Genomic DNA, 15,195 nt, shown 5'->3' with positions numbered 1-15,195 from the left:
CACATTTGCTGTGCTCTCCCTCCCCCAGTACCCTTAGACACTCTCAGCACCAGGCCACCCTGACTGGGGTGTGGGAAAGGGGTAGCATTCAATATTGGAGATTTTTTTTTCTATCTCTTCAGTATTGCTTTAAGTGATAGAAAGTTAAAACCAGGTACTATAGGTGACCATCTGATTTTTTATTTTCATGAAGGTATTTTTTTTTCTGTGTAGATACATGTTAAATTGGTGTCATTGCAGAGACATGATTGGCGGAGGCTTCTGTTCCATCACCTTGTTCCACCTCTGGAAACTCATTTTAAATAGAGAATATCAGGTATCACCTCAGAGGTACCTAATGAATGCAAACCTGCTTTTTAACAAGATCTCGAAGTGATTCCTATACACATTAAAATTTGAAAAGCATTGATCTAGCTGACTGGTCTCATGAAATACTCGTATTTTTATATAGTAATAACTATATTTCTATTACATGGGCAAAATTTGTTTAAATATAGCAGTCACTGATATTGCTTGAAAAGTAATGTCTTTTTTTGTTATTATTAAATAATCATTAAATAATTGCCTGGGAAGAGTATGTCATTGTGAGTTGTGAGTGGTTCTGAGTAGTCCTGTTTCTATTGGAAAAAAAGATTGAAAAAATTGCTCTATGGCAATGGGTGCATTTAAGTCTTGGGCTGTTTGAAGGTCATACTGGTGCATGGATTATAAATGGTAAATATAACCTTAGTCTATTAAATATAAATAATATCTGAGTTGCATTGTTCATAACTCTTCAAAAAGACTGTGTCTATAATTATTTCTAAATGGAGAATCTCACTAAAATTTTGGAAAAATAGTTTTTATATACTAGAGTAAGTAAGGAGTTAGTTTACCAAAAATACCGTGTAAATTATTTTTACTCAGATTCCAGTGAAAATAGAGTAAATAATTATAATTTTGGGACTGGAAGTAAAAATAGATACATTATAGCTCAGCACCCTCATTTCATAAATGAGCAAGTTAAAGTGAAATTATAATTTTATCCAAGTTCAAGTCATAAGTAGGAGTTAGGACTTGAGCTTAGATCTTGGTATTCTTATTTTAATCCTTTCTGTTATACTGACATATTTCCTGATATGACTTTAAGCCTCTATTTTATTTATATGTAGTAAAAACAAACTGTAATAGAATCTATTTTATGGGGTTATTGTGAAAATCAAATGTGATTTTACAAAAGCAATGCACTTAGCACGGTCTCCGTAATATAAAAAGGGAAAAACATAGCATTAATGGACTTCAGCGAGGTCACAAAGTAAATTATCTGTATAATCACATTGCTGAAACTTGTTCTACTTAAGCCTTAGAATTTTAGAATTTGGTTTCCAGCCAAGTGAAATGCCATCCTACAGGTCTGTAAGATCTCCCAAGTCACAATTGAAAATTCATCCAAGGCATGAGAATTTTCTTTTTGTTTGTCCTTTCCTTTCCTTTCCAATCCCACTCTGAAAGATCAACATCAAGGAGAAAATGACAGGGACTGCACTGAAGAAAGGTGGATTTACCTTTAGGTCTTAGAGGCAGCAGCAAGAGACTGGGAGAGAGTAAGAGAGAGAGACAGAGAGACAGAGAAAGAGAAAGTAAAAGAGAGGACATTCTCCCCACGAGATCTTAGCTTAACCTCCTAATTAAGATTATATGTTTGACACATGAATTTGATATTCTGGAAGGCTCATTTCCAGATTCTGTTTTTTTCAGAGATATTAGTAGTAATCTGTAAGCATTTAGCCTCAAGAACCTTGTTTTGCTGTTTTATAATTACCAATACCTAGTACAGGGTTTACACAGGGTAGAGCCTTAATGAATGGTGAGTTAATGAATGATAATAATAAGATTAGCAATGTTAACTCATGTCATATTCTTAAACCAACTACTACCACTACAGAGGTTGGAATAGTAGGACACTTTTTATGTGAATAGGCCATGTCCAACAAATTAGTCCATCATCATTTTTCAATGAGCTATTAATGCATGTCAAATACTATGCTAGGTTCTTTGCATACATTCTTTCTAATCATCATAAGGCATTATGCTGCCTGGTACATGAGAAAACAATATACTGATTAGGTAAGTAATCTTCTCAAGGTCTCAGAGCTAATAAGTGACTGCCACATTTGAATCCAATTCTACCTCATATCTAAGCCCATGTTACTTAACATTTCATCTGCCTTTTCTCACTTTCCCCTTTACTCCCATTTTTCCTTTCTCCCAACACATATTAAACACCTAATATATATCAGACATTGTGTTAGGCATAGTGTCTATATTCAGCATTATTAATTTCATTTGTCATTATATAATAATTTACAGTTCTACATTTTGCATTCAGAATCACATTTGATTCAACATCCTGCTCCATTTTTTAAAAGAAACAGCTGAATCTGAAAGAAGTTAAATAATAAGCCCAAGTTTATGCATGTCTTAAGTGGAATATTAGGACACAAACCAAGATATTGGTCTTCTCATCCATTGCTTCATTTTTAGTGTATCACATGATTGTAAAGTAGTGAAAAAAGCCCACCCTTAGGGTTCAGATATGGGCTCTATTCTCCACTTTTCTAGGTAGTAGCTGTTTGTTGTTTAACAAGTTTTAATTCCTCTGAGACTCAGTTCCCCCATAACAGTAATTTTAGTGGGAATTGCAATAATAAACATTTCAGAATATTGATAAGAGTATAAGATTCATGTAAAACACTTATATTTATTCAATGAATCCTTCCACAGTATTATAATCATCATTGTGAGAATTAAAAATATCAAATACAGAGTGCCTAAAGCAGTGTTCGGAAACTAAGTGGATGGAAAAGAAGTGTTTATCAGTTATTAATGTAACTGAAACAAGTTTATTGATGCTTAAAAATCTGCACTGGAAACAACTCAAATGGAGTACTTATTTCTTAACATATACTAGAAAATGTATAGTGCTCATTACCCTTAGTGGTAGGTATAGTTAGAAAGATCAATTCATTTTATTTAGATTTAGATAAATTCTGGGATGGTGGTTATTCAGGAAAGCTAGAAATTATTATGGGAAAATTTGTAGCCCTTCACATCATGAAGGATAATTGTCACTTTCTTTAATATATATTTGTGTACTGAAAAGAAGAAGAGTACTGCACTAGGCAGCCTTAAATTCTTAATAAGAAAGAAGAGTGGGGCAGTTTGAGGATTATTCAACTGGATCCTAAATGAGCTTCCTGTATTACCATTTAAGACTGCCAAAACCGAGGGAGGAGCCAAGAGGGCCGAATAGGAACAGCTCCGTCTACAGCAACCAGCGTGAGCGACGCAGAAGACAGGTGATTTCTGCATTTCCATCTGAGGTACCGGGTTCATCTCACTAGGGAGTGCCAGACAGTGGGCGCAAGTCAGTGGGTGCGCGCACAATGCGCGAGCCGAAGCAGGGCGAGGCATTGCCTCACTTGGGAAGCGCAAGGGGTCAGGGAGTTCCCTTTCCTTGTCAAAGAAAGGGGTGACAGACGGCACCTGGAAAATCGGGTCACTCCCACCCGATTACTGCACTTTTCCGACGGGCTTAAAAAACGGCGCATCACGAGATTATATCCCGCACCTGGCTTGGAGGGTCCTACGCCCACGGAGTCTCGCTGATTGCTAGCACAGCAGTCTGAGATCAAACTGCAAGGCGGCCGCGAGGCTGGGGGAGGGGCGACTGCCATTGCCCAGGCTTGCTTAGGTAAACAAAGCAGCCGGGAAGCTCGAACTGGGTGGAGCCCACCACAGCTCAAGGAGGCCTGCCTGCCTCTGTAGGCTCCACCTCTGGGGGCAGGGCACAGACAAACAAAAAGACAGCAGTAACCTCTGCAGACTTAAATGTCCCTGTCTGACAGCTTTGAAGAGAGCAGTGGTTCTCCCAGCACGCAGCTGGAGATCTGAGAACAGGCAGACTGCCTCCTCAAGTGGGTCCCTGACCCCTGACCCCCGAGCAGCCTAAGTGGGAGGCACCCCCCAGCAGGGGCACACTGACACCTCACATGGCAGGGTATTCCAACAGACCTGCAGCTGAGGGTCCTGTCTGTTAGAAGGAAAACTAACAAACAGAAAGGACATGCACACCAAAAACCCATCTGTACATCACCATCATCAAAGACCAAAAGTAGATAAAACCACAAAGATGGGGAAAACACAGAACAGAAAAACTGGAAACTCTAAAAAGCAGAGTGCCTCTCCTCCTCCAAAGGAATGCAGTTCCTCACCAGCAACGGAACAAAGCTGGATGGAGAATGACTTTGACGAGCTGAGAGAAGAAGGCTTCAGACGATCAAATTACTCTGAGCTACGGGAGGACATTCAAACCAAAGGCAAAGAAGTTGAAAACTTTCAAAAAAATTTAGAAGAATGTTTAACTAGAATAACCAATACAGAGAAGTGCTTAAAGGAGCTGATGGAGCTGAAAACCAAGGCTCGAGAACTATGTGAAGAATGCAGAAGCCTCAGGAGCCAATGCGATCAACTGGAAGAAAGGGTATCAGCAATGGAAGATGAAATGAATGAAATGAAGTGAGAAGGGAAGTTTAGAGAAAAAAGAATAAAAAGAAATGAGCAAAGCCTCCAAGAAATATGGGACTATGTGAGAAGACCAAATCTACGTCTGATTGGTGTACCTGAAAGTGATGGGGAGAATGGAACCAAGTTGGAAAACACTCTGCAGGATATTATCCAGGAGAACTTCCCCAATCTAGCAAGGCAGGCCAACGTTCAGATTCAGGAAATACAGAGAACGCCACAAAGATACTCCTCGAGAAGAGCAACTCCAAGACACATAATTGTCAGATTCACCAAAGTTGAAATGAAGGAAAAAATGTTAAGGGCAGCCAGAGAGAAAGGTCGGGTTACCCTCAAAGGGAAGCCCATCAGACTAACAGCGGATCTCTCGGCAGAAACCCTACAAGCCAGAAGAGAGTGGGGGCCAATATTCAACATTCTTAAAGAAAAGAATTTTAAACCCAGAATTTCATATCCAGCCAAACTAAGCTTCATAAGCGAAGGAGAAATAAAATCCTTTACAGACAAGCAAATGCTGAGAGATTTTCTCACCACCAGGCCTGCCCTAAAAGAGCTCCTGAAGGAAGCGCTAAACATGGAAAGGAACAACCGGTACCAGCCGCTGCAAAATCATGCCAAAATGTAAAGACCATTGAGACTAGGAAGAAACTGCATCAACTAACGAGCAAAATAACCAGCTAACATCATAATGACAGGATCACATTCACACATAACAATATTAACTTTAAATGTAAATGGACTAAATGCTCCAATTAAAAGACACAGGCTGGCAAATTGGATAAAGAGTCAAGACCCATCAGTGTGCTGTATTCAGGAAACCCATCTCACGTGCAGAGACACACATAGGCTGAAAATAAAAGGATGGAGGAAGATCTACGAAGCAAATGGAAAACAAAAAAAGGCAGGGGTTGCAATCCTAGTCTCTGATAAAACAGACTTTAAACCAACAAAGATCAAAAGAGACAAAGAAGGCCATTACATAATGGTAAAGGGATCAATTCAACAAGAAGAGCTAACTATCCTAAATATATACGCACCCAATATAGGAGCACCCAGATTCATAAAGCAAGTCCTGAGTGACCTACAAAGAGACTTAGACTCCCACACAATAATAATGGGAGACTTTAACACCCCACTGTCAACATTAGACAGATCAACGAGACAGAACGTTAACAAGGATACCCAGGAATTGAACTCAGCTCTGCACCAAGCAGACCTAATAGACATCTACAGAACTCTCCACCCCAAATCAACAGATTATACACTCTTTTCAGCACCACACCTACTCCAAAATTGACCACATAGTTGGAAGTAAAGCACTCCTCAGCAAATGTAAAAGAATAGAAATTATAACAAACAGTCTCTCAGACCACAGTGAAATCAAACTAGAACTCAGGATTAAGAAACTCACTCAAAACCGCTCAACTACATGGAAACTGAACAACCTGCTCCTGAATGACTACTGGGTAAATAATGAAATGAAGGCAGAAATAAAGATGTTCTTTGAAACCAATGAGAACAAAGACACAATATACCAGAATCTCTGGGACACATTCAAAGCAGTGTGTAGAGGGAAATTTGTAGCACTAAATGCCCACAAGAGAAAGCAGGAAAGATCTAAAATTGACACCCTAATATCACAATTAAAAGAACTAGAAAAGAAAGAGCAAATACATTCAAAAGCTAGCAGAACACAAGATATAAATAACTAAGATCAGAGCAGAACTGAAGGAAATAGAGACACAAAAAACCCTTCAAAAAATTAATGAATCCAGGAGCTGGTTTTTTTAAAAGATCAACAAAATTGATAGACCACTAGCAAGACTAATAAAGAAGAAAAGAGAGAAGAATCAAATAGACACAATACAAAATGATAAAGGGGATATCGCCACCGATCCCACAGAAATACAAACTACCATCAGAGAATACTAAAAACACCTCTACGCAAATAAACTAGAAAATCTAGAAGAAATGGATAAATTCCTTGACACATACATCCTCCCAAGACTAAACCAGGAAGAAGTTGACTCTCTGAATAGACCAATAACAGGCTCTGAAATTGAGGCAATAATCAATAGCTTACCAACCAAAAAAAGTCCAGGACCAGATGGATTCACAGCCAAATTCTACCGGAGGTACAAAGAGGAGCTGGTACCATTCCATCTGAAACTATTCCAATCAATAGAAAAAGAAGGAATCCTCCCTAACTCATTTTATGAGGCCAGGATCATCCTGATACCACAGCCTGGCAGAGACACAACCAAAATAGAGAATTTTAGACCAATATCCTTGATGAACATTGATGCAAATATCCTCAATAAAATAGTGGCAAACCGATTCCAGCAGCACATCAAAAAGCTTATCCACCATGATCAAGTGGGCTTCATCCCTGGGATGCAAGGCTGGTTCAACATACCAAAATCAATCAATGTAGTCCAACATATAAACAGAACCAAAGACAAAAATCACATGATTATCTCAATAGATATAGAAAAGGCCTTTGACAAAATTCAACAACCCTTCATGCTAAAAACCCTCAATAAATTAGTTATTGATCGGACGTATCTCAAAATAATAAGGGCTATCTATGACAAACCCACAGCCAATATCATACTGAATGAGCAAATACTGGAAGCATTCCCTTTGAAAACTGGCACAAGACAGGGATGCCCTCTCTCACCACTCCTATTCAACATAGTATTGGAAGTTCTGGCCAGGGCAATCAGGCAGGAGAAGGAAATAAAGAGTATTCGATTAGGAAAAGAGGAAGTCAAATTGTCCCTGTTTGCAGATGACATGATTGTATATCTAGAAAACCCCATCATCTCAGCCCAAAATCTCCTCAAGCTGATAAGCAACTTCAGCAAAGTCTCAGGATACAAAATCAATGTCCAAAAATCACAAGCATTCTTATACACCAACAACAGACAGAGAGCCAAATCATGAGTGAACTCCCATTCACAACTGCTTCAAAGAGAATAAAATACCTAGGAATCCACCTTACAAGGGACGTGAAGGACCTCTTCAAGGAGAACTACAATTTCACTGTTCAATGAAATAAAAGAGGATACAAACAAATGGAAGAACATTCCATGCTCATGGGTAGGAAGAATCAATATCGTGAAAATGGCCACAGTGCCCAAGGTAATTTACAGATTCAATGCCATCCCCATCAAGCTACCAATGAGTTTCTTCACAGAATTGGAAAAAAAACTACTTTAAAGTTCATAGGGAACCAAAAAAGAGCCCGCATCACCAAGTCAATCCTAAGCCAAAAGAACAAAGCTGGAGGCATCATGCTACCTGACTTCAAACTATACTATGATGCTACAGTCACCAAAACAGCATGGTACTGGTACCAAAACAGAGATACAGACCAATGGAACAGAACAGAGCCCTCAGAAATAATGCCGCATATCTACAACTATCTGATCTTTGACAAACCTGAGAAAAACAAGCAATGGGGAAAGGATTTCCTATTTAATAAATGGTGCTGGGAAAACTGGCTAGCCATACGTAGAAAGCTGAAACTGGATCCCTTCCTTACACCTTATACAAAAATTAACTCAAGATGGATTAAAGACTTAAATGTTAGAACTAAAACCATCAAAAACCTAGAAGAATACCTAGGCAATACCATTCAGGACATAGGCATGGACAAGGACTTCATGTCTAAGACATCAAAAGCAATGGCAACAAAAGCCAAAATTGACAAATGGGATCTAATGAAACTCAAGAGCTTCTGCACAGCAAAAGAAACTACCATCAGAGTGAACAGGCAACCTACAAAATGGGAGAAAATTTTTGCAACCTACTCATCTGACAAAGGGCTAATATCCAGACTCTACAATGAACTGAAACAAATTTACAAGAAAAAAACAAACAGCCCTATCAACAAGTGAGCGAAGGATATTAACAGACACTTCTCAAAAGAGAACATTTATGCAGCCAACAAACACATGAAAAAATGCTCATCATCACTGGCCATCAGAGAAATGCAAATCAAAACCACAATGACATACCATCTCACACCAGTTAGAATGGCAATCATTAAAAAGTCAGGAAACAACAGGTGCTGGAGAGGATGTGGAGAAATAGGAACACTTTCACACTGTTGGTGGGACTGTAAACTAGTTCAACCATTGTGGAAGTCAGTGTGGTGATTCCTCAGGGATCTAGAACTAGAAATACCATTTGACTGAGCCATCCCATTACTGGGTACATACCCAAAGATTATCAATCATGCTGCTATAAAGACACATGCACACGTATGTTTATAGCGGCACTATTCACAATAGCAAAGACTTGGAACCAACCTAAATGTCTAACAACGATAGACTGGATTAAGAAAATGTGGCACATGTACACCATGGAATACTATGCAGCCATAAAAAATGATGAGTTCATGTCCTTTGTTGGGACATGGATGAAACTGGAAACCATCATTGTCAGCGAACTATCGCAAGGACAAAAAACCAAACACTGCATGTTCTCACTCATAGGTGGGAATTGAACAGTGAGAACACATGGACACAAGAAGGGGAACATCACACACCGGGGACTGTTGTGGGGTGGGGGGAGGGGGGAGGGATAACATTAGGGGATATACCTAATGCTAAATGACAAGTTAATGGGTGCAGCACACCAACATGGCACATGTATACATATGTAACAAACGTGCACGTTGTGCACATGTACCCTAAAACTTAAAGAAGTATAATAATAATAAAATTTAAAAAAAAACAAAAAAAATCAAATTTTTAAAAATAAATTTTATTGTTGAAATACAAAACACAATCAGAAAAAAATGCAAAATATTAAGTGTACAGTTCAGTGAATTATACTATAATCACATATAGGTATCCACTAATCAAGTCAAAATAACGGACATTACTGATACCTAACAAGTTTCCTTCCCTCTCCTCTCTAAACAAAACAAAGCAAAATAAGACAATACAAAAAATACCCTGAGTTATAATATTATAATTATATATATACTATATATTTTATATAATTTTTATAATATATATAAATTATATTATATAAATTATATAAATTATATTATAATTCTATAATAAATTATAATTTTTATATAATAATATAATTATATATTATATATTATAATAACCCTGAGTTATACCCTGAGTTATAATATTATAATTTTGTATAAGTTTATATAAATGAAATCCTTATGTATGCATTTTATGTCTAGCTTGTCTGTTCAGCATTATGGCTATAGTATTTATCCATGTGGTTGCATATAGCAGTTCATGTATTTTCACTGTTGTATTTTACTGTATGAATATGGCATAATTTATTTTTCAGTTAAAGAACAATTGGATTGTTACCCACATGAACACACACACACACACAATTTTAGATATTTAGTTTGGAATGGAATTTTGGGTCCCTGGTTCTGTGTATGTTAAATTTTAGTTAATATTACCAGACAATTTTATATAGTGGTTTTAAGAATTTACTTTTCCTCCTCTCACAAGCAGTATATGACAGAGGAAGCAACCCCAACTTTAGAGTATTATTGCCTGTTTTAAATTTTAGCCATTTTGATGTACATGGAGTCTGATGTATGTGTAGTTGTGATTTTAATTTTCATATTCCTGATGAGTTGTAATGTCAATCACATTTTCATATGCTGATTGATTGGTCATTTGAATATTTCCTTTTCTGAAATGACTGTTGAAGTATCTTGTCCGTTTTATTTTATTACCTATCTTTTCTTATTAACTTATAGAAGTTTTTTTCCAATATACATGCTAGATTGACTCCTGCTTTTGAACACACATAAAAATTAATTCCAGGTGGATTGTCATTCTAAATGTAATAGATGAAACATTACATAAGGTAGCATATAAAAATATTTTCATGAACTGGGAATAAGCAACATTCTCTTTCGTGAACTGGGAGCAGGCATGATTCTCTTTCTTTATTATCACCATAATGGAAAAAAAATGACAATTAGATTATATTAAATCAGAACTTTTCATGTAAAAACACCACCAAGGAAAATTCAAGGCACAGAGTGGAATAAAATATTTGCAACACATGAAATCAAGAATCAAATTTGTAAATGCATGTTTTGGTTTGAGTCCCATGCCTTATGGGTCCTGTGACATCAGACCCCACAACCAAGCACATGTGGGGTTTTGATTTCTGGAAGGAAGATAACTATTTTGCCACCTGAAGCCTAGCTCCAGCTCTTTGTAGAAATGGGGCTGGTAGCCTAAGTATCATCTGTCAAGAGAGTGACAGATCCTCAGGACCGCAAGCATTATGGTGTACACCTGATTCAGATCTGAAATTTAGCTTTGGATTTTGTTACTTTTCTCATTTATTTCCTTTGTCATCTCTGGCATCACAATATTTCACTTTCTTTATGTCAAATTCAGTTATATATCCCAAAATTATTTTGTTTTCTTTTATCAAACATTTCTAAGTGTTTTGAGTGGGAGGTGGGCAGGATGAGAGTGTGTCCTGCTGTGTCAGCTCAGTCTACCCTATTGACTAGGAGCAAATCAATGAGTTTTTACAAATTAAATTCTCCTTTCTAATGCAGTGGCACAGGTAGCACTTGGCTTTATTGACACACTGCTGAAGAGGACACAACTTCCTGAAGAAAAAGAGAGGCTAAAGAGGTGATTTTGTGAGTTGAATAAATCACGATGGCTTTTCTGTACCAATTGACGGAGTGGGTGAGCAGGAGGCAAATTGTCAAATACCTGTGTGTATAGTGTACAACAGCTCTAGGACATTGTTTTTCTTAAGTGAATTTTCCCCAAAACTTGAATGAACTTATTTAAATACTTTTAAATATTTCTTTTTGTGAATGTATGACTTTTTTTTAACCATTTAAAACACAATTTCCTAGGCATGATATAATCTTCATTGCAAACAGCCAAGATTGTGCTTGTAATATAAATCATGACCTCAGAAGCTGTGACAGTGGGCAAAACCATTTTCCCCTAAACTAAATAGCTCATGATAGCTGAGTGTCTTGAATTAGTACATTATGGACAACTCAAATAGTGTTGATACCACTTATTTTGCTGTCAGACAACTCTTCGTATTTTTTCCAATGTGTCTGCCTCTAGCTTCAGCTTATTCATTCTAAATGTGGTGCTAAGAAAGAAGATACATAGATATTTGAGATTTGGGTGTAAACCAAGATGGTAAATTTGTTGCAAGACACTTTACTGTGAATTCATTGTCTGATGTTTATTATATAAACTTTGGAATATTTTCTTTTCTATTTAAAAGTTAAATTTGCCTTTCAAACTCAAATCTCATCTTTTTGTCACATAACCTCTCAATGCTCTGCATACATGTTTATATGCATACACATATGAGCCAGCTACTCAACCTTAAATTACAAATGATGTTATAACTCCACTAAACCTATACTATGTTTTTTACAATTATACAGTATGAAGGATTTTTTTTTTTACTTACATGCATATTAGAGTTTTTCAAGTTCATACTCCTTTCCTTCTTTTTTTTTCATGAGATCATAAAGGCTGTCCAAAATGTTTATTTATGTACATGTTTTTTGTTCCATCTTCTACCCTGCTATGTAAGTCCATGGCCTCATTATCCTACTATTTCTTTTACCTTTAATTTTAAACTTACAAAAATTAATGACCTAAGGGGACATTGAATTACAGCAAAATACACTTACGTACGTCTATGGAAATCTCACTAAGACTTCTGTTGGGACTTCTACATGCTTCAAAGCTATTTTCAAACTGCAAAACTCCACTTTAAAATTTTTTTCCAAGCCCAAGGACTTTCTTCTAAGAGGGTTTCAATACCAAAATAAGAATAAATAAATCTAGTGCATATAAAATTTAATTAATATATTTTTTTTTTCTTTAGAGTTTGTAGATAAATACTGCTTTTCAATCTGAATAAAATTGCATGAAGACTTGGAACATACATACTTAAAGGAAGGCAAGTTTGAAAATCTGGTTTGGGGATTTATGGTGGATATTTTTGCTTAACACTATGTCATACAACAGTAATAAAAAATAAAAAGGTGTTGTTTCAATAAAATTAAACTACATTTCTCTGATTATTATTGAATGAAGGTTACAAAAAATGGAAATTTGTAGGGGAAGCATTTGTTGATCTTTTTTGTTTTTGTTTCTGTTTTTTTTTGAAATAGTGTCTCTCTCCATCACCCAGGCTGGAATGCAGTGGCACAGTCATAGCCTCAAACTCCTGAGCTTCAGAAATCATCCCCACTCAGCCTCATGAATAGCTGGAACTGCAGGTGAGCATCACCATGCCCAACTAAATTTTAACTTTACTTTTTTAGAGACAGGGTCTCCCTATATTGCTCATACCGGCCTTGAACCCTTCACCTCAAGCAATCTTCATGCCTTGGCTCTCAAAGTGCTGGGATGACAAACATGAGCAACTGCAACTGGCCTAGTTTACCTTTCACTATAGTAAAGGTTCTATTACCCAGAGCTAGTAACGAAAGGCTGTCAAAATGTACTTGTTACAAAGTTTGACTTATAATCACTTAGCTCAGAGTTATTTATCTAATAGTACAACAGCTAATTAATTCAAAGTGTTTGTTTCTGCATCTTGTTCCTTTTTAAAATGTTAGGTCTGATGGAAATATCACTTAAGCTTTGGTTTCTTTTGATTTTGGCATTGAATTATGGGGGTGGGGGTTAGTGAGAGAACCATTTGGTTGAATATTTTATTTCTCTTTTGTTCTTTTCTATTCTAATTTCAGTAACAGAACATGTAGAGGAATAACTTCTGATACAAAGTGATAACATAGATTTGACAATTTAATGTAGAAATTGGTGATCCTTGAGCTTTGCAGAAAAATGTCTTCTTTTTAGTGGATTATTTTGGACTTACATTAGAGATCAGATTTAGATAAGAGGCAATTGGTCATGTTAGAATTGACAGCAGGCCATTAAATTCTTTTGAAAAGTTTAATCTACAAATATATACAGATCTCCTTTGATGAAGACAAAGAAATGAGAAATAAGATAAAGATTAATAATTATGGTGACTATTATTTACTGAGCACTTGAAATGTGCCCAATGTGTCATATTCATTTTTATATGCCATTTTTACACATGTGAGAACTGTGACACAGAACACTAAGGTAGCTTGTCAAAGATCACACAGATAAAAGTAGAAAAAATAAATTCAAACTAATTAAGTGTATTAGTCCATTCTCACATTGCTATTAAGAACTACCTGAGACTGGGTGATTTACAAAGAAAAGATGATTAATTGACTCACAGTTCCACTGGCTGTACAGTGAGCATGGTTTGGGAGGCCTCGGGAAACTTACAATCATGGCAGAAGGTGAAGAGGAAGGAGGCACATCCTACATGGCAAAAGCAATAGGAAGAGAGAGCAGTAGGAGGTTCTCTACACCTTTAAACAACCAGATCTCATGAGAATTCACTTGCTGTCATGGGAATAGCAAGGGGGAAATCCACCCCCATGATCCAGTCACCTCCCAGCAGGACCCTCCTCCAACATGGGGGCTCACAATTCAACATGAGATTTGGGCAAGGACACAAATCCAAAGGATATCATTAAGCATAACTCCAAAGGCTTTTCTCTTAAATACTTCTCTATAGTGCATTGCAATGAATGACCAGTGATTGAAATGTATATTGATAAATCATATTTTAAGGAATATTTTGAAAGATATTTCAGAATATTATTCTTACAAAGAAGAAAAATATGAATTCTTTATATAATACAAGTTGTACTTCAGGTAACAGTGTATGTGGTGGCAATTTTTGAATTCCTGTAACTGAAAGACTGAAAATTTGGAATTCCTGGCACTAAAAGACTTGAAAATGGTGTATCCATCTAGCTAGAAATCATGAAATTATCTATATTACCTCTGCCATAGGTAGTCATAGCATAGCCATCTGTATTAGTGAGAGTTCTCCAGAGAAATGGAAACAATACTCAGAGATTCAGTTTGAGGATTTCACTTATAGAGGCTGAGAAATCCCACAATCTGCTGTCTGCAATCTGAAAGCAACAGGATACATAGAATCAATGGTATACATATACCTACACACACACACACACACACACACACACACACATACACACACACACACACACACACGAGGGGAAGTGGCTCAGATAATTATGAAGGTTGAGAAGTCCCATGCTCTGATGCAGTCTGTAAGCTTGAAAAACAGGAAAGCCAAAGGTATATTTACAGTTCAAGTCAGAAAGTCTGAAAACCAGGATAGCAAATGGTGTAGTTCCAGCCTGAAGGCTGGTAGACTTGAGACCAAGGAAGAGCCAGTGTTTCAGTTCAAGTCCCAAATTAGGAAATAGATTGATGTCTCATCTCAAAGGCATTAAGGCAAGAGAAATCTGCTCTTACTCAAGAGAAGGCCAGGTTTCTTGTTCTATTCAGGCTTTCAACTGTTTGGATGTGGTCACTCACATTAAGAAAGGCAATATACTTTACTAATAATGGCAGTGGGGGGCCATCTAGAGTGTCCACTGCCATTACATTGGCTGCAGCATGGAGGCACAGCCAGGGCTGCACAATCCATGGAGCTGCTGGGAGCCAGGGACAAGTGGGAGCACCACCCCTTCCAAGTTGG

At 37.0% G+C, this 15,195-nt stretch overlaps 1 long non-coding RNA gene across 6 annotated transcripts in view; it reads left to right on the top strand.

The window, feature by feature from the left end:
* Positions 1-12,632, top strand: part of LOC107985709 (uncharacterized) — a 56,466-nt gene extending 43,834 nt beyond the window's left edge. For 3 of the 6 annotated variants that reach the window (XR_007068367.1, XR_001755952.1, XR_001755957.1), the window contains 2 exons: positions 11,138-11,216; positions 12,454-12,632. This is a non-coding gene — a long non-coding RNA (uncharacterized LOC107985709). Of the gene's footprint in view, positions 1-3,253; positions 3,339-11,137; positions 11,225-12,453 lie in introns of all 6 variants that reach the window. The other 3 variants (XR_001755954.1, XR_001755956.1, XR_001755955.1) reach the window with 3 other exon arrangements.
* The last annotated feature ends 2,563 nt before the right edge of the window (positions 12,633-15,195 follow it).

This window comes from Homo sapiens, chromosome X (assembly GCF_000001405.40).
Source record: "Homo sapiens chromosome X, GRCh38.p14 Primary Assembly".
NCBI lineage: Eukaryota > Metazoa > Chordata > Mammalia > Primates > Hominidae > Homo > Homo sapiens.
Note: the sequence above shows the minus strand (reverse complement) of the source record. Positions and strands in the feature narration are given on the sequence as shown.